Source organism: Homo sapiens, chromosome X, assembly GCF_000001405.40.
Source record: "Homo sapiens chromosome X, GRCh38.p14 Primary Assembly".
Lineage (NCBI taxonomy): Eukaryota > Metazoa > Chordata > Mammalia > Primates > Hominidae > Homo > Homo sapiens.
Window position 1 is genome coordinate 30700034 of NC_000023.11, and position 23835 is coordinate 30723868.

The following is a 23835-nucleotide window of genomic DNA, read 5'->3' on the forward strand; positions in this document are numbered from 1 at the left end:
GCAATAATAGCAAAGTACTAATGAACTTGAGCAATCACGTAGCCCAATCTCCATTTTGTAGAGAAATAATGTGATGTATTGAGAGGTTTCAACAGCCTGCTAGTAGATTAATACTAACTAACTAACCAAGAGTAGAGCCCTCATTTACTGGCTCCCAGTCTAACGTTTTATGTTCATTCTCCAGTGCCACATCTCTTCCTGTCATTCTAGGAATACTTGTAGTATCTGTCTCTTTATCATTCATTTAGTTGAAATGCTTTCTTTGTCTTGTCTGCCCACATCCTCTGGCACATTGCTACTTGTGTTCACTCTTGTTGCAGCTATGTTAGTAGAGCCAAAATTTTGTGACTATTCATAATCCTTTTTTTAAATTTTATTAGAAAGCTGGGGCCTTGGAAGGTGTGCCAATATCTGGGGTAAGTTTCATCACCAAGTGTCTCCCCATCCCCACCCTTCCCCATGTTATGGCTTTCCTCCTCTTAGTTCATCAGTGTGCCTCTTTTTAAACTAGGGAAAACAAGTAAAAGTTGCAAAATTGGCTAATTCTTGTTCTTACATGTCATACTGTGGGCCATTGAGAATCTTTTGAATAAATTAATTTTAACTCTCCCTTCCCATACCTATTATCTTACATATTAACAAATGGTATTAACAAATGGGGAAAATGGCCAAATGGAGAAAATGCAAGGAAATAGACAGTTCATTCTTTGATAAATAAAAAATGAAAAATCCTATGGCTCTTCTAAAAAGAAAGTTAATACTATTGTATTAGTCAGTGTTCTTTATTGTCATTTATACTTTCAGTGTTTAGGGGACCAGTCTGCTGCATTGGTGGGACAAATGTGCTTCCAGATTGGACAAGCCAAAAATACGTGAGTTTAAGAAACAGACTTAAAAACCAATGCTGTTTTGTTTTTTCTACTTGGTGCTTTGAATAAGGAAAAGCTTTTGAAGTTCATCCAGGATGAAAATCAATAGCTTAATAGCTCCAATATGCATATATACACTTTTTACCATTTTTTTATATCTTTAAATAAAATACAAAATGCCATATATATGCACACTGATGAAGCTTATAAAGACCTAAATTTGTAGGCTGGGCGCGGTGGCTCACGCCTGTAATCCCAGCACTTTGAGTGGCCGAGACAGGTGGATCACCTGAGGCCGGGAGTTAGAGACCAGCCTGACCAACATGGAGAAACCCCATCTCTACTAAAAGTACAAAATTAGCCGGGCGTGTTGGTGCATGCCTGTAATCCCAGCTACTCGGGAAGCTGAGGCAGGAGAATCGCTTGAACCCGGGAGGTGGAGGTTGCGGTGAGCCGAGATCACGCCATTGTATGCCAGCCTGGGCAACAAGAGTGAAGCTCTGTCTCAAAAACAAACAAATAAACAAAACCTTAATTTGTAAAATTCATTACCTTTTATATCCTAAAAACTAAATTTTGGTTCAAAGTATTCTTGCCTTTTTGGGGAGATTGGTGGGGTGGTGAGAGGGGTGGGAAGAAGTGAGGAAGAGCTGTAATATATAGTTTTTGGCATATTAAGTCTTTCTCACTAACTGTAAAGTTATATTTTTGTGGGATTTTCAAGGTTATTTTCCTGGCATTGTGCTTTCTCTCCATTATCTGAAGTTTCGCCTTTCCTGGCATTGTGCTTTCTCTCCATTATCTGAAGTTTCTCCTTTGACAAGAAGCAGAAAGAATGATAGAAGTAGAGATTTGGTATATTTTTCTCTCAATCTCATCTTCTTACTACTCACACATGCAGAATCTGGAACAAGCCCCATATCTAAGAGTAATAAGAAGATGACTCCCACTTTAGGATAAGAAAATGGATACTCAAGGAGCTTGCCTAAGGTCATAGCCTTGACACAAAAGCAGAACCAGATCTCAAGGCCATGCCTTCTGAGTCTGAATCTGGCACTCTTTCTTTCTGTTCCCACCAATCACTATATTTATTTGAAGGTAATCTTTTTATTTATTTATTTATTTTTACTTTTTATTTTTATTTATTTTTTTTTTTTGAGATGGAGTTTCGTTCTTCTTGCCCAGGCTGGAGTGCAATGGCGCGATCTCGGCTCACTGCAACCTCCGCCTCCCAAGTTCAAGCTATTCTCCTGCCTTAGCCTCCCGAGTAGCTGGGATTATAGGCATGCGCCACCACGCCCAGCTAATTTTGTATTTTTAGTAGAGACGGAGTTTCTCCATGTTGGTCAGGCTGGTCTCAAACTCCTGACCTCAGGTGATCTGCCCGCCTTGGCCTCCCAAAGTGCTGGGATTACAGGCGTGAGCCACCACTCCTGGCCAAGGTAATCTTTTAAATATTAAAAAATCTACCTGCCAATTATACGTATTCATGAACAAAATTAAATATGCCTCAAAAGCTGAATTAATACTAACAATTATAACACAAGCTTAGCCAATGGCTATTGTGTTACCTATAATGTTTCATGTGCTTTAAACACATGATATCATTTAATCCACATATAGATCCTATTATTCCCATTTTATAGATCAAGAAACTGAGAATTAAAGAAAAAAATTTATGCAACAGCACACAACTAGTAAGTGGGAGATGCAATATTTGCACCCAGATCCATGTCATTCCTTAGCCAGGGTTCTTAACCTGTGTACTGTACTACCTCCTGTATGGAAAAGATTTCCATATAACTGGCAAGAGGCTACATTTAATTGCTATTTTCTTGAGGATTTCCTAATTATCTCATCGATTTTAACTTCAGTGGTTAAGTTCTTCCTTTGTGAATAATGGAATGTGTAACATTTCTAGATTAAACGTTCTTGTAGTCTAGCAGGGTCAGTGGCTCTCATGCAAGAGTGTGACATTATTTGTGTGAGAGTTTTTTGAGGAGGAGGGATGTGGGAATTCTTTGCAGGTCATGGTAATCTGAGGTTACATGACCAAGAGCATCTGAGTCAGCCTGAGTCTGGAAACATTCTTGGAATCTGGGTTCCAGGCAGCTGGAATCAAGTGCCATGAGAAACTTTGAAGCAAAGCTGTTGGGTTTCAATGGGAGGATAGAAAAGTCACAAAAGATTATCTTAGTAATGAGATGCTTTGAAAAATGAGCAGTATTGGAGGGTACAGGGAACATTGAACAAAGATACGTATGGGGAAATAGAAGACTTTGTTTAGAGAATGTAGAGAACATTAGAGTAGGGAAGTGACAAAAAATATAAAGCTAGGATCATGTTGTGAAGCCCTATATTTCAGGCTAAGGAGCTTTTCTTGATAGGCAATAGGAAACTTTTGAAGGTTTATAAGCTGGTGTTCAGAGATGACTGGAGTTGTCAGTAGCAGTCTTGGGTGAAAGTGAGGAAAGACTAGAGGCCAAGATGCCATGGAGGAAGCCACCATAGTGTCCCGGTAATGAGCACATGGGCTCAGAAGGATGGAGACAGAGAGGGAGGCCATGAGTGAATGTGCATGGCACTGCAGAGGAGAAAGGGAGGGGAAGTAGGTATGTCATCTAGGTACCTGGACCCTGTGGTTAGGCTTAGCCAAAGTAAGGAAAGGGTCTGAGTGGAAGAATTTCTGTTCAGAGCGTGTTTGTGGTGCTGGCAGGCTGTATGTTGCACACATTTGGAAATGTGGAATAAGTTCAGTATAAAAATAGAAATTTTTGGCCAGGCACAGTGGCTCATACCTGTAATGCCAGCACTTTGGGAGGCCAAGGCAGGTGGATCACTTGAAGTCAGGAGTTTGAGACCAGTCTGGCCATCATGGCAGAACCCTGTCTCTACTACAAACACAAAAATTAGCTGGGTGTGGTGGTGAGTGCTTGTAATCCCAGCTACTCAGAAGGCTGAGGCATGAAAATTGCTTGAACCTGGGAGGTGGAGGCTGCAGTGAGCCGAGATTGCATCACTGCACTCCAACCTGGGTGACAGAGAGACTGCCTCAAAAAAAAAAAAGATGGAAATTTTAGAATTTCCCTAGATAGAGGGGATTTTGAAGCAACAGAAGTAGATGAAATTACCAAGAAAAAATATACAAGTAGAGGAGATATTTACACAAGTAGAAGTAGCAGGCACGGGGATGGAGAAGTCAGAAAAACAATGCAGTTATTCATTTTATATATATATATATATATATGAGATAGGGTCTTGCTCTGTCACTTAGGCTGGAGTGCAGTAGTGAGATCCCAGCATACTGCAACCTTGACCTCCTGGGCTCAAGTGATCCTCCCCTCTCAGCCTCCTGAGTAGCTGATACTACAGGTGCATGCCACCACACTCAGCTAATTTTTAAATTTTTTGTAGAGATAGGGTCTTACTATATTGCCCAGGCTGTGTCAACTTCCTGGGCTCAAGCAATCCTCCTGCCTCAGCCTCCCAAACTACTGGGATTATAGGCATGAGCCACTGCACCTAGCCTGAAATTATTCATTAGTGTGGAAATCCAGGGTAGACATATTTATGAGGGAGGCATGGTCAGTAGCGCAAAACATTACTAAGAGGTCATGGAGGCTGAGTACCAAGAATGGACCATTATACATAGAAATTAGGTCTTCGTTTGGTGACTTTTTTTTTTTTTGAGATGGAGTCTCGCTCTGTCACCAGGCTGGAGTGCAGTGGCATGATCTCAACTCACTGCAACCTCTGCCTCCCAGGTTCAAGCAGTTCTCCTGCCTCAGCCCCCCGAGTAGCTGGGACTACAGGCGCCCGCCACCACACCCAGCTAATTTTTGTATTTTTAGTAGAGACGGGGTTTCACCATGTTGGCCAGGATGGTCTCGATCTCTTGACCTCATGATCTGCCCACCTCAGCCTCCCAAAGTGCTGGGATTACAGGCGTGAGCCACCGCGCCCAGCCGTTTTGTGACTTTCAAGAGTGAAGTTGTACTAGAATGCTCAAGATAGAAGCCTGGTTGCAAATGGTCAAAAGAGATGTAAGCAGGTAGGAAATCGAAGACATGTGCTTTGCAAAAATACAACCATCCAGGAATGGTGAGAGAAGGACATAGTTTGTGAGGTTAACAGGATTATGTAACATTTTGGGAATTTTGTTTGATTTTGTTTGTAAGTTATGGTAAGACCAGAGAATGTTTCTTTGGAGTCTGAGCGGAGAACAGATGAAAGTTGTAAAATAAATGGGGGATAAGTGATGGACAAGACCAAGTAAGAGGTTAGAGAGATTGGGATTGAAAATTTAGTTAATTTCTCCCAACCTCAGCAGGGAGAAAATGACAGTCAGCTCAGAATTCAATGAAAAGCCCATCTCTGTTTCAGAGTGGGGGAAGAAATTATGGATGATTCTAATTTTTCTTTCAGCTTAGCTGTATTTTCCAATTTTTCTAGAATGTAAAAATTATTTGAACATTAAATTTTATTTTTCTGAAAGAGCACATGAGATAGCTGTCTCATTTGTCCAGTAGTGCTGACTGGGTGTGACAGAGTTTTTTACCTCCCTCACAGCTTCCTCTGGGGTCAACCCCCCTGCCCCTATGCGCCATCTTCGTCACACCTCTCTGGGCTGCTCAGTCCTGATCTGATAGTCATGAAGGAGAGCAAGCAACGTTTACCTTTGTAGAAGTTAGAAAAGTGAGACATCTTTCTGCTATGTTTGAACACAGTACAGTGTTCTGTGAGTACAATGTACAATGAGGAAGGCGAGGTAGATCATGTAAATGCTGAAAGCTCCATATGTGCTTGATGACTGGGAAGAAAGAACAATAAAATTTAAGAGGAAAATACTTGCCTGTGTACTGCTTTAAAAGCTGTGGCCTAAGTATAGCAAAGAAGTCTCTTCATATTTGCTAATACTCATTAATTGCTTATTAAGTATACTCACTTAAGAATTCACTTTTATTAAGTACCTTCAGTCTTCTCATCAGTTTTGCACTAAGACGCGTACGCTACTGTTCAGTATAGTGTTTATATGGATGCTAAATTGGTACAGATTTCTCCTTTAAAAAGCATGAAATAGATAATTAACTTCCATTTTTATGAATATTTATCACAGTAGATTAACTTGAAACATGTAGCTTTTTCAGTGTGCGGCAATAAAACGGTATAGTGATTTTGTGTTTTAGTTTGTAAATGTATTACCTGTACCTAGTGTTATTTGACAAGTATCTTTACAAAATTAGATATTAGTCCCATGCTCCTTGAATTTGTCACCTGCTCATCAAGCAGGCCAAGAATATATTTGGGTGAGAAGAGATAGACTATCCTAGGCTAATCCTTATGGTAACAATGGTACCTGGAAAAATGTCGGAAAACAATTTCCCTTGGTTTTGTGTTTGTTGCACAATCAAAATGCAGCTGATGGGATCTGTTGAGTTAGTGCTGACTGGTGGTAGCTTCTTCTGGGATCCTTCTGCCAGCTCCTGGACTGAGCACTGTCCCATCTTTCAGTTGCTGGAATGTCACCAGCACAGTTAGAACCCTGGTGGTGCAGGGCACAGCAGCAAGGCCCACGGGGAAGGAATGCCCAGCTTGGGCAGAGCCAAGCAAGGGTGACTGTAGCAACCTTGTTACCCCAAGCTTAACTGTTCCTCTGTGACCCTTACTGGTATCACTTTGGGCCACTTATCTGCCTGGCACATGTCAAAACTACCTATTAATGTCCAAGGGCCAGACTTGCTGCAGAATCCAAAGTTTATATTGATAAGGCTGCCACAAAATAAATTCAGTTCTTCTGTATCAGCCATGTTACATTCTGGCTCTGATTATCAAAGGTAGACCTTAAATTGCCTTCCGTTCCATGCCACTCTTGTCCTAGCTTTCCAACTACACCCTCCCACACTCTGTATCCAGCCTCCCCACCCTGCCAGAAGGTAGTGGTGTTTCTCATTTTATGACTGTATTAATGATAGAGCTAAGCTGGCTGTCAGTCATGATGCTTCACTCCACATGGATTAGTAGTAACATAACTATGACAGAACTTAGAATTTGTTGTAATTCAGTGGTATTTTATAAACACAGCCCTGGCCTAGGACTGACTAAACACTAAATACTATATCTGCATTTTTCTATTAAGATTGCAATGGCCAGGCACAGTGGCTTAAACGTCTGTAATCCCAGCACTTTGGGAGGCTGAGGTGGGTGGATCACGAAGTCAGGAGATCAAGGCCATCCTGACTAACACGGTGAAACCCCGTCTCTACTAAAAATAGAAAAAATTAGCTGGGCGTGGTGGCACATGCCTGTAGTCCCAGCTACTTGGGAGGCTGAGGCAGGAGAATCGCTTGAACTCGGGAGGCGGAGGTTGCAATGAGCCAAGATCGCGCCACTGCACTCCAGCCTGGTGACAGAGCAAGACTCCATCTCAAAAAAAAAAAAAAAAAGATTGCACTAAGTACATTTTCTTCTAGGCTGATTTCTAAAACATTATTCCAGGAAGATATATGATTTTTGTTAACTTTAGGAACTTTTATAAAACTATAATGACTTTTTTGGACTAAATTATATGTCAGTTTTGATCATTTGTGTTATTAATGTTTCATTATTTGCTTTCAATAAAATTGTCTTACTATTCATTCTCCCTTCAACCATAGGTATGGAACAGGATGTTTCTTACTATGTAATACAGGCCATAAGGTTGGTTTTTTAAATTAAAAAATTGATTTAAAAGTCTAAGTTCATCTAAATAATGCTTGAACATAATTTACTATTAAACAACTTTTAGTCTTTAGCTTTTACTTAATCTTTATCAGGGTTTAATTTAGAGCTCAATACAAAATTTGAATCGTTCTAATAAGAACCATTTTAGACTCTTTGAATTTTATATGTGTGTTTTTAATTGTGCTGGTGGGAAATCTAGACTGAGACCTCATCAAATTCTTAATGCAAATCTAATTTGAAACAAGGAATAAACTTTTTATACAGCTTAAATGTGTTCTTAATTCTGATCGTTTTGACTGTAAGGATTTATTTTAAAAATTGGTTTATTGATTGCATTATTTTGTACCTATGTTATTTTAACTTTAAAAAAAAGTTCTCATGTTATCTTTTCATTTTCCACTACTGAAATCTTTTTTTTTTCTTTCTTACAGTGTGTATTTTCTGATCATGGCCTTCTCACCACAGTGGCTTACAAACTTGGCAGAGACAAACCAGTATATTATGCTTTGGAAGTAAGTTCTTTTTAATCAATATGGATAATATGACAAACATTCAAAGCTAATAAAAATTACAGTGTTTTCTAACACTTTTCTGGTAAATCTTAATACAGAGGACTCAAAAAGTTCTGCTTTCTTGGCATTTGATTGAGTTGAAGGAACCTGAAACTGATCTGGGTGTCAGGACTCACAGGAGACCTTGATTAGATTGGTTCCTCAGTTCTTATGCCAATTAATCATGTCACCTTAGGCATATTACTTGAGAGCTCTACAATGTAAGGTTTTTTTTTTTTTTATCTCTAAAGTTTAATCGGATTAACGTGCTCTCTAACATTTCTTTCATCTTGAAAATTCTTTGATTTTATAAATAAAATGCTCCAGTGTTCCAAAGAGAACCCTGGGCACAAATAGGCAGAACAACTCTCTTCACTTGTCTCCTCATAAAAATAAATTTTGTGTAACATTTTGATATAGAAAAGAAAGTGAGGAGATTTATGCCACTTATCACTGGAAACATTTGTTTCAAACATTTTTGTATGTTATAGTAGGAATATGCCAGCCTAAGCCTATAGGATATGGTAAGTTAGTGTTAGAAATATTTATTTATAAAGTCAAAGAAATAATATTCTTTTTGTAAAATTAGATACATTTCTTATAAGCATTTCTATATAATTAATTTTGAAATGGCTACCTTATAATGCACAAGTATACACTTGATCTGCAGACTCATTGAGGCTCATTTTTTGGAGTGCCTGATAATAATTTGGTCACAAGTTAAAGACTTCTAGTTAGAGTTAAAACATTTTATTAGTCATTATGCCTAGCACATGAGGAATATTAGTTTATTTCTATTTTTCTCCCTTCCCCACCCCATAAACACTATAATATTTCTCCCCAGCTCCTTTTCTATGGATGGAAGCATTTGTGAAAACTTAGTCTGTATATTAAATGTATCTTAACACTTCTCAGAACTTAAAATCCTACAAGCCCTCTCCCTCTCTACTTTCCCTCTGTGGAGAGTGCATAGCACAACACTAGGCACATAGAATATGCACTTGATAAGTGTTACCTATAATATAATAAGAATATGATTCTGCTTTTTTTCTTCTTGCATGGGAAACAATCAGTGCTTTAGAATACAGGTGCCTTAGACCTGGGACAGGCCTCAGGGACAGGGGTCACTCGGTCTTAACTCCCCTCCCAATGTGAAAAACCTTCTCCTGTCTCCTTTACCAGTAGCCATCCAACTTCTATCTGAAGACAGCACCCAAAGTTGCTTCTTAATAACACCTCTAGCATTGGACCTGCATTGGTTGTCAAAAGTGTTCCAACATTAGAGGCTGCGGTCAGTTTCTCTGGGTCTTCCTCCTCCAGGGTAAACTGACCCAATGCCTTGATCTCACATGGTTTCTGGATGCTTTATAGTTCTGAGCTCCCTTCATTGGGTGCATTGCAATTCATGTCGTCCAGAATGGAATATAACATTCTACATCTAATCTGACCTGTACTCAATCAATAGGATGATTTGTGCCTCTCCTACCATAAGCACTACTTTTGCTCCTCTAGCCTGAGAGTTCATTAATTTAGACTAATATTTATTAAATTAATATTTATTAATTAAAATAATTAATATTAATTTAGACTTCATATTATTGGCCCTGGGAGCATATGCTAAAAAACCTAGCTCGTTTTCAAATGAATCATTGTCAAACCAAGTCTGCTCTGTTCTGTATTTGTGTAGTTTTTTTGTTAAATCTAAATTCAGGTCTTTGTTTCTTCCTGTTTAATTTCATAATAGTGATTTTAGCCTATTCCTATATAGTCTGAATTCGTTTTCACTCTTTACTGTTACTCTTTCAGTTTTGTCTCATCTAGAGATTTAACAAGTATATGCTTTATGATTTTGTTTCAATTTATGTAATGCTTTTAGATGCTTAGAATTGTAAAAGCTCAGAGAGACGCTAGATCATATGACAATATACCCTCCTATCCCCTTGTTTTACACGTGAGGAAACCGAGATTAGAAAAGTGAAATTGGAGTCCCTTGGCCAAGTAACTTTTGACAACAGTAAGTAGCAGATCCAGATGCTTGGACATCAAAGCCTTGATGCCTAGGCCACCCTGCTGTACCATTTCCTTCCTTGTAAGTCTGAAAGTTCTGGGCTCCAGTCTCCCAAGTCCAGTGTTGTTGTCACTGCATCTAGCTTATGTCCCTTCCTTCATCTGCTAACCTAGCGGTCTCAGCAACAACAACAACACACATACGCATACTAATATGTTAACGGTGTAGTTAGAATTTTTTTCTTTGTTTTCTTAATTTTTTTTTACAATTAACAAACATTTAAAAAAAATTAAATTAAACCAAACCAAAAAACAAGGGTGGGGAATAATGCTAGACTGGTAAAACTTTTTATCAGTAAACACATGCTAATTTCACTTGGTCATACTAATTCCTTTTTTTGTAAATGCTTACAAAGTATATATTTAATAATATTGTCTTTCATTTGATCAATTGTTGTTAGGCTTAGAAGTTGGAGATAGGAAAATTTTAGTCTTTATGCTCTTTAAAACCTAAAACTATAGCTACCCATCTTCAGTCTTTTAGTCTTTTTCCATTCTTCCTCTGCTGATTTGGGAACAATAAGATACATTTCTATGTTTTTATTTTGGTGATTTTTTTTCTTTTGCGTATACCCTCAGATTTTTAAGATATTGTTTAACCATATATTTTTCTAAGAGTGTATGTCATTTTTTGGTATTTTTAATCTCCCGACCATGATAAGGAACTCTAATATTTTATTCTACCGCCTCCATCACCAATTGTGTTATTTTGTTTAAAGCTTTCATTTCCCCCATTTTGTTCAACATGTAATAATTACTGTTGTTTTCTTTGCAGTCCACAGTAAATCATATTTATTGACTTATTTTTCTTAGTTTGTGTCCAGTATCATTTCTTTGGTCTCACACCTTTTTTATTCCCACCTACTTTTTTCCTTTTTTTCTTCTTCTTTTTTTTTTTGCTGAGGGGCATCCTTCTATAGTTCTTTTAGTTTTAGTGTGGGATAGTAAGCCTATTCTTTTTAGGTTTGTCTTTGTTTTGCCCTCACTCTGAGGATGAGTATAAAAGCCTATATTAACAATTGTTTTTCCCACATCCCTTCTGGCCATTTTCGATGTTGATGAGACCTCTGCTGTCAATATGTGGTTCATTTGTAGATAATCTGGTTTATTGTCTGGGAGTTTCTAACATTATCTCTTTATCATTGATGTTCTGTAGTTTTACTATGATATGCCTGTGTTTGGATTTATTTTTATTTATCCTGTTAGGTACTTGGATCCAAGTCTGTCTTCAGATCTGGAAAGTTCTCAGCAATTATCTCTTCAAATATTGCTCCTCTACCATTACCTCCATCCTCTTCTGGAATTGCTATTGGATGAATATTGGAACCTTTCAACCCATCATCCATGTCTCTTAACTGCCCTTTTATATTTTTTTAATCTCTTTGTTTCTCTGTGCTGCGTCCCTGGTGAGTTTCTCAGTATCTACCTTCCATTTCCAAATCCTCTCTTTAAAACAAACAAGACAAATCATAAAAGCCTTTTTTGTATTGTGAAATATAAGACACATAGAGAAAAATGCATTAAATATCAATGTACAACTTGAAAAATTATTATAAAGGCTCATGTAACTTGTTCATAGAACGCCGCCAATCCCAAGAACCTCTATTTGCCCCACGATCACAACTTCCTCCCTCTCCCTGAGATAAACATCAGCCTGACTTTTATCATAATCACTTCCTTACTTTTCTTTGTAGTTCTAACACTTAAATGTGCAGCCCTGAACACCAGAGTTTAGTTTTGCATGTGTTTAATATTTGATATATTAAAAATATAAAAGAAAAGAGAGAGAGAGCATGTGCATGCATATCTGAGTCACTTAGTATGTATTTTTTTGTATTTTTTGATCTGGCTTCTTTCACTCAACATTATGTTTGTGAGATTCATCCACAGTATTATACATAGCTGTTTTTTTCATTGCTTCTTATTGCTATATGAAATTATTGAAGTTTAGTATTTATTCAGCTGTTGATGACATTCGAGTTGTTTTCAGTATTTGGCTATTATGAAAAATGCTGCTATGAACATTTTTGTATATGCCTCCTGATGTAAATGTATTCACCTTTCTGTAGGAGTAGAATTTCTAGGCCATAGATTATGTGTATCTTCACTTTGAGTAGATAGTGCAAACCATTTTTCACAGTAGATGTGTCAAGTTACACTCCTACCAGCAATATGGGGGAATGCTAGTTTACTCATCCTCTCTATCTAGTCTAGAGTTTACCCCATCTAGTACATTTTTCATCTTATTTAATATTTTCATTTCTATAGTTTTTATTTGGTTATTTTTCACATCCACCTGATTTTGTTTCAGTTCTCTTTTTTTTTTATTCTTAGTTTCATGTTTGTTTGTTTTTAAAATGGAAGTCATTTCCTAATTTATCTCCGAATACTTAAAACATATGTATTTTAAAATCTGTGTTAGGCCGGAATGAACTCTAGTCCAGCTATTAAGTTTGTTGGATTTCTTTTTTCTTTTCTTTTTTTTTTTTTTTTTTTTTTTTTGAGATGGAGTCTCGCTCTGTCGCCCAGGCTGGAATTCAGTGGCCTGATCTCGGCTCACTGCAAGCTCTGTCTCCCAGGTTCACGCCATTCTCCTGCCTCAGCCTCCCGAGTAGCTGGGACTACAGATGCCCACCACCATGCCCGGCTAATTTTTTGTATTTTTAGTAAAGACTGGAAATAACGAAGTTTCACCGTGTTAGCCAGGATGGTCTCGATCTCCTGACCTGGTGATCCGCCCGCCTCGGCCTCCCAAAGTGCTGGAATTACAGGCGTGAGCCACCGCGCCCGGCCTTGTTGGATTTCTTAATACAAGATTTCTTCGTATAGTTTAGAATTGTCACTTCCAGCCTTGTCTTCCATTAAGCCATATAGCCTCAGTCAGCAAATACACAGTTGCTTGTTTTTCTAGCATCCCTACACAAGTAAGAGAGCGCCACCTAGCTCCTGGCTTCAAGCATTGAGCCTGATTCTATTCCCTGTCTTGCGCAAAACATTTTGGACCCCTTTCTTCTGGAGGAACCAGTTCCCAGCCACCACTCCTACTCCCTGACACATATAGAAAAATAAATCAGAAGCCATCATGCTTGTGGCTTCAGTCCTGTTTGGTTATGTGTTTCCGTGTCTGTCCACATAGATGTTATTCTGTATTTGAGTCAGCATGTTGTTTCAGTTTTCTCTTTTATATCGTGTCTGTTATCCTCTGTGGTTAGAACAAAGGGGATTTTTGAAGTACAAACTCATTATTTCTGCTCATGTAAGCATCTGCATCTTCTTTTTCATCACCAAGAGAACTCTTTTTCTCTCCCTGAAGCCCCTGGCAGGTGATAGTAAGGCCTGACATTTTAATACCTCTAAATTCTCATTTTCATTATTTGTAAAAAGAAATAGGTGTTCATGATCCTTAAGTTGTTCTGTGACATTAAACTCATATTAAACTGGTTAAATTTGTCCCACCCTTTCTAGTTGGAAAATATTTCTCAGTAGTGGAAGAGACTGGAGCAAAATAGAGCCATTGAGTGGTTCTGCCTTCCCTCTGGCATCCTTGTTCCTCTTCTTTTTCCAAATACTGTTTCACAAAACAAAAATCCTTTTGGGAACTTTTAATATGAGTATGAACCTGAGCTTACTTATGACTTGAGACTTCCATGTTCCGTGTTTTGTCACTAGAATATAGATTTCCTGAGGCCAGGGTACTTGTCTATCTTGTTTACCACTCTGTCCCAGCAGGCTGGCAGATAATACATACCCATTAAATATTGTTCAAATACCGAATCCTATGTTAGGCCATTTTTTTCTTTTTAAATATGAGCTTCAAAGAGGGTTCCCTATATTGCCTCCCTGGTTTCTTTAAATATCTCTTCCCCTATCTTTTCTTTGTTATGGTTTAACGATTATAGCGTTAAGATTTCCTTTTTAGAGTTTTTCATCCTTCTTGAGCTAAATCCCTATTTTAGGTATAAACCTATGTAATAGATTATCTATTGCTGTGTAACAAGATTACCACAAACTTAAGTGGCTTAAAACAACACATTTATTGTTTCTCAGTTCCCATGGGTTCAGAATCCAGGCACAGCTTAGCTGGGTACCCTGCTCAGAGTCTCACAGGGCTGCAGTCAAGATGTTGACTGAGGCTCTGCTGTCATCTGAGGTTTAATCTGCTTCCAGGTTCATTCAGGTTATTGGCAAAATTCAGTTCCTTGTGGTTGTGGAACTGAGGACTTCAGTTTCTTGCTACCTGTCAGATGGAGGCCACCCTCAGCTCCTAGGGCTACCTGCAGTTCCCTGCTATCTGAGGGACCCCCAGTGGTTCTCTGCTTCCTTAAAGTCAGGAAGGGAGGGAATATCTCCAGCAAGACAGGCACAGTAAATCATGTAATGGAAGCACGTACACATCACCACACATATCCCATCACTTTTGACATGTACTGTTGGGTAGAAGAAAGTCACAGATATCACCACGCTCAAGAGGCGAGGATTATGCAAGGGTATGCACATCAGGAGGCAGGGATCATGGGAGCCACCTTAATTAAAAGTCTATCTGCCACAAGCATATAAACATTGTTTATGAACTTTTATAATGTTCTTTCTTGAAAAGTATACTTTCTGAGCAATAAATGCTTTTAATTTTAGTTCCCCAACTTGTTACTGAAGTATTAATGAAATCTGTTACATTTCAAAAATAATGTTGCTCCAATTCAACTCTTCCCTTTCTCTATGCAATTAAAAATGCTATAGAGTTAGACACTGCATTTGTAATCTAATATATACAAATTAACTACATTATAAATCATATACGTACAGATACATAGCACTGTAGTATACACAAAACTGTGTTTGCTATGCCTGATGAATGATTGTAAGCAATTTAGGGTAATCTTTACTTTACCTGATTTTTCTCCATACTCACCAATTTTCACCCTAATTGCCTTGTAAGCTACAATTCTACTGCATCCTGAAATATCCTGCTTTATTTTTATACTGTTTGTGGCAGTGGCATTCATGTCAAGGAGCTTTTGAAGAAAAATGTATTTGCCTGCTATGACATTACATCAGATCTACTTGATTATTTTTAATTCAATCTTCCTATAGCCTGTTTATTAGCCTTTCACTTTCCAGGCTACATGTCTAGTTTTAAAATAATTTATTCCTCTTGCCCTGTTATAATTTAATTTATTATTCTTTACACCCTCTCACTTTCATTGCATCTCCCTTAGTGTACAACTATTAAGCTTGCATGCATCTTTTCCAGGGAATCATAACCTAGAACAAGGGCTGATTCAAATTTGTAGATGATATACTAAAGTATTGGATCTTTATACTTAGGGTGTAATTTATGGTAACTTAACTGATAACAAGTAGACAGTCACCTTCTTTTATCATTTTAGGTTTTGGCTGCTATACTCTTTTCCTGTCCAGCTTTGAAACATTATTACCATCTTCCATTTTATTTCCTGCCTCTGAATTCAGAAGACCACATGTCTTTTGTGAATTAGAGATGTCTCTCATTTTTATTTCTTTAAAAGCTAAATCATACCATGTATTATATCCTGACAGCAAAATTATTTACTTTTTTCAGATAAGTGTTTTTATCTACCTTTTATTGTGTTATATTGAATCTAGTTTTTCAATCACAACAAAACACTTCTGTGTATTCCTGATGACAGAATTTAAAACAGTTATCTCCTGGAGCCTTAACAGTGACTATGTATTTTTTTTCTTTTGTTTTAATCTAAATAATACTCTGATTCTCAACTAATTACCTCTAATCAAAACCTTGATTTTCCTTTTGCTAAAATCATATTGCTTTCTCTTAAAAATATGGTGTAAGCATGTAACATCCTATCTTTTTCAATGGAAATGAGGTATATCAGCACGTGGTTTCCTAGAGTATAAAGTCCCACCAGCTGTGCCACAAAATCACTTTACTAGACTCCTAGCACAGTGGCTTCTAAAAATTCGCAGTTTAACTGTACTTGCCTAAAACAATTATGTATGCATTTCTTGGTTAGATGCTATTTAAGGACAGTGTCTTTGAGAGTATAAGGAGGAGGGACACCTGTTTTTGTTTTTCTTTTTCAATTAGGTCTAGAATTATACTGCCCATGGCAGCCATGGCCACATGCAGCTATTGAGCACTGGAAATGTGGCTAGTCTGAATTGAGATGTGCTGTAAGTGTAAAGTATATACCAGATTTCAAAGATAGTACAAAAAAAAATCTCAATAATTTAATATTGATTTCATGTTGAAATTTTTTTTAATACATTGGGTTAAATAAAATATTAATTTTACCTTCCTTTTACCTTTTTAATGTGGCAAAAATATAAATTACATATGTGACTCACTTTATATTTCTGTTGGACAGCACTGGTCTAGAAACTCTTACATATTTACTAGTATTTGGCAGCTGCTATCTCTGAATTGTCTGTTTCCAAAGGAAATTTGAATCTTAAATCTCTTTAAACCAAAATTTTACTTAGTTCTCTTGAATGATCCCACTAAGTACCTAAATATGTAAATGTGTCAAACTTAATACAACAACTTATTTTAGGCAGGGAATGAGCTGTGTTAGAGTCCCTTGTAAGGTATTTCTTGAATTGTTTTTGTCCCATTTTTAAAGCCTTGTCATATTTGCACAGCTATGCCAGATCTGTTCCTCAAATACTTCCTGTGGTTAAAAAGCCATTTTATATATGTAATGATACAGAGTACTGTATGTATGTCTACATATATAAAAATGTATAAACAGAACAATTGTGGCATTCTGTAGCTTTGCAGTAACATAGTAACTTCTCATAGAAGCTATGAATGATGGAATATACCAGCATATTCATTCTCTAGTTTACTTACATTTTGACAACTGACAACAAGAAGGCATGACCATTTGTAATTCAGTTAATAGAACTGAGGACAGGTCCCTACATTTAATATTACCTGACGTTTGGTTTGGAGTGACTCTGTGGAAGTAATTTACATTAATAATCTATATGAATGAACTATCAGAGCTAAAAAAAATTTCTTGGTATTCCTAATGGTTCGTGCTGATACTTCTTTTTTTTTTTGCCTTCAGGATCTTTTTATAATAGCTTTATTGAGATATAGTTCATATTCCACACAATTTACCCTTTTCAAATATACAGTTCAATGGTTTATAGTAATACTATATTTACAGATTTTTACAACCATCACCACAATCTAACTTTAGAACATTGTCACCACCCCAAAAAGAAACCCCATAACCACCCCCTATCCCCCAGCCCAGGCAACCACTAATCTACTTTCTGTCTCTATGGATTTGTCTGTTCTGGACATTTCATATGAATGGGATCGTACAATATATCGTCTTCTGTGCCTGGCTTCTTTCACTTTGCATAATGTTTTCAATGCTCATCCATGTTGTAGCATGTATTAAGACATCATTCCTTTTCATAGTCCAATAATACTCCATTGTGTAGACATACTGCGTTTTATCTATTCATCAGTCAGTGATATTTGGCTGATACTTTTTTAACATTAAAGAAATTAATGAAGTCAATATTTACATTTAGTAAGAACCTTCACATATATTCTCATATTGAGCCTCACAGTAATTTGTTTAGGTAAGTGTTGTCATAGTCATCATTTTATAGGTGAAGAAATGGAGGCTCAGAAAGCCTAAGTAACTTAGGCAAGTTACTTAGATGAACTTGCTAAGATTAACTTACTAAGTTACTTAGATTAGTTACTAAGATTACACAGCAATTAAGTACTAGAACTGGGACTCAAAGCCAGTTTATCCAACTCTGAAATATGTTTTTATTGTTATTGCCACAGCTCTAGGTGATTTTGTTTTAAAGAAAAATTACTTACTAGCTAGCTTCTTTGCTTTTTGTTTTCTTGATTTACTATACTGTTAGATATGGGAAACAGACTTGAAAAAACTTTTAATGTGGCCTCTCCCAATAATTTTATGAACAATATGGCAATATATTTCTAAGTGATAACATACCTCAGTAGCTTAGCAACAGACAGAAAATTGTTCAAGAAGCAAACTGATCAAAGATCAATGTCCACCTATGGGGACAAATCCAAGGGTGTGCTGGAAAGCTCACTTCTTTTCCTCATCCCGTGAAAAACTTTTATTAGTGACTTAGATAAAACTATGTTTGTATTAGAAGACCTAGTTTACATATTTGTCGGAGTCTCAAAATGGAAACTGAATTCTGTCCATCTGATTGTGTCATACACAGAATATGCTCAATAAAAACCTTGGATAGTGATAAAATATATTCTGTCTTGAATTCCTTTTTTTCTTTAGGGTTCTGTAGCTATAGCTGGTGCTGTTATTCGCTGGCTAAGAGACAATCTTGGAATTATAAAGACCTCAGAAGAAATTGGTGAGTGTGTTCTAACAAAAGGTTAGAAAATCTGAAAAATGACACATTTCAGTATTTTATCTCTGCAAAGTAAATACTTATGCTTTGCCCCAAATGTGATCCATAAATTATATGGATCCCTATTATGAGTTTGACTTATGCAAAAGACTATCTTGTGAAGATTTATAAAACAAGGAATTGACATAATTAGTGGTGGTTGTTAATAAACTGGCAATGTAGGGCATAAAAATTACCCAAGTGTAAAATTGAACACTGGAGATTGCCAGAACCTGCAGATAGAGAAGTTGAGTTAAATTTATCTGATGAGAAAGAGCTTTAACTCTTAGATTAGAGTGAGCATTAAAACTCTGGTACCTATAATTTAAGTATTAATACGGCTGTTTTCAGTCTATAGATAATTAGTTTGAACTTACCTACTCACTCTTTCATCCACTTGCTTAACTTTGCCTGAAGGTGAGACAATCAGAAATACATTTCTGATTAGGGACACACTAGAGGCCACTTTTTCATCTCCTAGTCAGCAACCTTAAAAATAGTGGAAATGAGCTAAAATACCTTAAATAAATGAATCTGGTTCCTTGATTTCTTGAGCTAGGCTACATTTTAGTGGGGGGTATTTAATGTGAGAGAAACTCATTTCTGTTGATCCTAGCATACTACTGTAGTTAGCAACATTTTGCTCTACCAATGAATTGGAAACCAAAACCCCTGTCCTAATTTTTCTAATTTTTAAAATAGGTATGCTTATATAATAATACACAATATTTGTGTGATTTTTGTTTTGTTTTGTTTTTAATGTTAGAAAAACTTGCTAAAGAAGTAGGTACTTCTTATGGCTGCTACTTCGTCCCAGCATTTTCGGGGTTATATGCACCTTATTGGGAGCCCAGCGCAAGAGGGTAAGTATTGAAAATATGGAGTGCTTTTGGGGATCTTGATTTATTTACCAAAGTCGTTAATAACTTATTAGTTTCTTATCTATTTTCAAATAATTATAATGTGTTGAGAAAACCTTTTCTTTTTGGAGAATATAATTTCAGAAACTTTAAGCTCCAAGAAGTTATGAATCAGCTGACAATAACCCCTGCCATATCCGTATTCATGTTATCTTTTATCTTCATGATGTCTGTAAGTTGTATAGTGAAGGGACATCATCATAATGAATACTGATTCAGTTTTATGATGCCATCATCTTTTCAAATGTGTCATGAATTTTTTCATACATGAATGCAGAATTGTGAAATATAAGGACTTTCTGAGTTACTTAATGATTATGTCCAATTTTCTCTTCCTGGACATTTCTGTCTACCAAATTTGACCTTTTCATATTTGAGATATTTCAAATTGATTGGTTTATATCATTCTAATCTGAAAATCTTTGTGCGTATTTTTAGGATAATCTGTGGACTCACTCAGTTCACCAATAAATGCCATATTGCTTTTGCTGCATTAGAAGCTGTTTGTTTCCAAACTCGAGAGGTAACAAATATGGGCCTGTTTTCTTGTACTTAGTTCACTTTTATCACTCTTAAGTTATATGTTAACACCCGAGATTTATTCAGTACTGAAAATGTAGTTAATCAAATATTAAGGCTGCCTAAATACTAATCTAAATATAAGCAGGGTTTTCCCCCTTTTTCCAGCTGTCATTACCTTCTAAGTTCCTGTTCCCTGTCAGGCACTGGGAATTTTATGGTTGTGGGGAGGCTGAGTGGCACACATTAGGCAAAGGAAACAGCACAAACATAGGCATCAAGGCAGAAAAACAGGGTGCAAAATAGAGTTGTATAGCTTAGCTGAATATCAAGGTGAATGCAGAGGTGTAGTGAGAGAAAAGGTTGGCTGTGACCAGATCAAAGAGGGCTTAGAAGACCAGAATAAGAAGTCTCAATTTATTCCATAGGCTCTTGGAAGCTCTTGAGAGTTTCTGAGTGGAGGATTGCCATTTTCAGAGATGTTACTATGAAATAGATTTATAACATTAATTGCACTGGTTTATTTAAGATTTTGGATGCCATGAATCGAGACTGTGGAATTCCACTCAGTCATTTGCAGGTAGATGGAGGAATGACCAGCAACAAAATTCTTATGCAGCTACAAGCAGACATTCTGTATATACCAGTAGGTTAGTAAGTCTTCATTCCTTTAAACTCCCAGAGTAATGTTTCTTGTGGAATAACTAGTTCTTTGGGCATATGTAACCACAAAGATATTGATGGAACTCTCTCTCCTCAGTGAAGCCCTCAATGCCCGAAACCACTGCACTGGGTGCGGCTATGGCGGCAGGGGCTGCAGAAGGAGTCGGCGTATGGAGTCTCGAACCCGAGGATTTGTCTGCCGTCACGATGGAGCGGTTTGAACCTCAGATTAATGCGGAGGGTACATTTAAAGAATGAAATGTTCAGTGATATACTGTGAAAACGACCTTAGTGCACGGGAGTTTTGTTTTTCTGTTTAGTTAAAAGTTAAGGAACCAAGTAAAATAGTAAATGTTATCATTGCAGATTCGGCTGCCAAGCATATTGGGCTTTACTGAATAAATGTGAATGAGAGAAATCGTTGCTTATCAAAAGAACTTCTAAAATCACTTTTTAAAAATCATTTGCTTTTACTGTTTATGGTCCTTTAGTGTAGGATAATAATACTGCCACACTGTCAGGTATAGCTAGTTAGAATAGCCTTTTTTTTTTTTTGAGACGGAGTCTCACTTTGTTGCCCAGGCTGGAGTGCAGTGGCACAATCTCGGCTCACTGCAAGCTCCGCCTCCCGGGTTCATGCCATTCTCCCGCCTCAGCCTCCCGAGTAGCTGGGACAACAGGTGCCCACCACTACGCCCGCCTAATTTTTTTTTTTTTTTTTTTGTATTTTTAGTAGAGACAGCATTTCACCGCGTTAGCCAGGATGGTCTCGATCTCCTGACTTCGTGATCCGCCCGCCTTGGCTTCCCAAAGTGCTGGGATTACAGGCGTGAGCCACCGCGCCCGGCCATAGCCTTTTTTAAAGTGAGAAGGAAGATATATCAGCCACTCATCCCTAATGTCTACACCAGATCATCTTTGGTGCCAGTGGCCCAGTTTTAGGACATAATTAGCTGGGTTAAGAGACACTCTGGTAACTTTTAAGCACAGCAGGACTAACCTGATGAAGGCAGCAACAATTTAAGTAAGTGAACATTAGATATCTGATTCACTGTGCTAACTAAGCTAAGCCACAAGCTGTGATCAGCACTTTTACTAAAATGTAGTGATGCGGTTCTTAAATTTAAATAAATGTAGAAAAATAAGGTTTTATATATTAGAATTGGTTTTATAACTTTTTAGAAACCTATGCATAAAATAGCATCAGCTGGGAATGGTAATTTGTGCCTATAGCCCCAGCTACCCAGGAGGATCTCTTGGCTTGGGCCCAGGAGTTCGAGTCCAGCCTAGGCAACATAATGAGACCCCTGTCTCTAAAAAAACAAAAGGAAAAAAAAAGCATCAAAGTGGATTTTGAGGTATTGGGAATAAGCTTTCAAATGCATTTTTGTTTGGTTTTCTGGGAGAATATACCAGTGTTTCTCAATTTTATTCATTCTTTTAACATATAAGAAAATGAATTATAATACTAGTAATTTTATAGTCAGATTATACCATGTACCTTGATTTAGAAATGTATTTCACCATCTGATATTCTGTCATTTTTAACTTTTGCAATACTGGATAAAATATGAAGTTCAAAAAATTTTTCTACTTTTCAAAAAAAATCAACTTTATAATATGCAAATAATGTCCAGAGCGGGTATATGGCCTCTAAATGCCAATCTCACTCTTAAAGCAAGGAAGTTCTGTGCCAAGAGAGCCATCTCCATTCTTAGGGGAGCCATCTTTGCTGGTGTTGAAGGCCTTAGCCTGGGGTTGATCAGTCATGCCCTATTGTCCTCCCTCTCACCAGCCCTCACTCCTCCCCATAAACGAATGGGCACCTAGGCATAGATAGTACATTTTGCCAGCAAACAGTTGTTTATAGCCAACCACAGGCCAGAGACTGTACTGATGTGGGGATATAGAGATGAATAAGGCCTTATCTTCTTATCTTCTTTTGCCCTTCAGAAGATTAGAGTATATTGGGAGCAGAAGACAAAACCATAAAAATTTGGTAGCTGACATCCTGGGGTGTGTGTGAAGAGAGAGGGGGGGATAGAAATGGGGCACTGGAAAGCTTTCTGAAGTGAGTGATTCTTGAGCCTTCTCTCCTGGGTGTTGCAGGCCTCAGGTGCTATGGAAAGTCTGGGAGGCTTGAGAGAAAGGTAGCCCCACATGGGGTTCAGCACCCTTAGAAGTGTACAACATCAAGCTCATTTTTGTTTAGACTTTCTATTGTGGATTTCCACCTTTAAAAAATCTTGCTTTAAGATGCTGGGGTTGGGGGGCATGGGGCTGTCTCAGAGGAATGCAATTCAAATCTTATGAGAAATCAGTATTTGTTAAATCCTGTGACTGAAATAAAAACGTCTCCTGCGGGGCGTGGTGGCTCACGCCTGTAATCCCAGCACTTTGGGAAGCCGAGGCGGGCGGATCACGAGGTCAGGAGATCAAGACCATCCTGGCTAGCACGGTGAAACCCCATCTCTACTAGAAATACAAAAAATTAGCTGGGCGTGGTGGTGGGCGCCTGTAGTCCCAGCTACCGGGGAGGCTGAGGCAGGAGAATGGCGTGAACCCGGGAGGCAGAGCTTGCAGTGAGCCGAGATGGCACCACTGCACTCCAGCCTGGGCGACAGAGCGAGACTCAGTCTCAAAAAAAAAAAAGAAATAAAAATGTCTCCTTCTAGTCTTCCCACATTACAGCATACCCTTTTCCTCGTACCCTTTCCCCCCAAAAAGAAGAGAAAACAGATCAAATGGGATTCCCCTTTCTAATTCATTACCACTTGTTTGTGAGTGGCCCAGTCTGCATAGCAGGCAGTCTGTCTGCCAATCTCCCTTTACCCTGCTGAATTTCCCCTATCCTGTTTTTGTTTGTTTGTTTGTTTGTTTGTTTTTGGGACCGAGTCTTGCTCTGTCACCCAGGCTAGAGTGCAGTGGTGTGATCTTGGCTCACTGCAACCTCCACCTCCCAGGCTCAAATGATCCTCCTGCTTCAGCCTCCCAGGTAGCTGGTACTACAGGCAGGGTTTTACCACATTGCTCAAGCTGGTCTCAAACTCCTGAGGTCAAGCCATCCTCCCTCCTCACCCTCCCAAAATGCTGGGATTACAGGCATGAGCCACT

At 37.9% G+C, this 23835-nt stretch overlaps 1 protein-coding gene and 1 long non-coding RNA gene across 16 annotated transcripts in view; one reads left to right on the plus strand and one right to left on the minus strand.

Moving 5' to 3' along the window:
* Positions 1-23835, plus strand: part of GK (glycerol kinase) — a 78040-nt gene that overhangs the window by 46611 nt on the left and 7594 nt on the right. For all 15 annotated transcript variants that reach the window (NR_174369.1, NR_174370.1, NR_174373.1 and 12 more), the window contains 9 exons: positions 381-416; positions 805-872; positions 7523-7565; positions 8021-8101; positions 18505-18583; positions 19386-19482; positions 19978-20062; positions 20588-20708; positions 20819-20962. Coding sequence is in view for 8 of the 15 variants with exons in the window: in XM_011545491.3 (XP_011543793.1) it covers positions 381-416; positions 805-872; positions 7523-7565; positions 8021-8101; positions 18505-18583; positions 19386-19482; positions 19978-20062; positions 20588-20708; positions 20819-20962 (754 nt within the window). In the remaining 7 variants the exon portion in view is untranslated. The remainder of the gene's footprint in view (positions 1-380; positions 417-804; positions 873-7522; positions 7566-8020; positions 8102-18504; positions 18584-19385; positions 19483-19977; positions 20063-20587; positions 20709-20818; positions 20963-23835) is intronic.
* On the minus strand, positions 31-18066 carry GK-AS1 (GK antisense RNA 1). Its single transcript, NR_046603.1, has one exon. It is a non-coding gene; the product is annotated as a GK antisense RNA 1 (long non-coding RNA).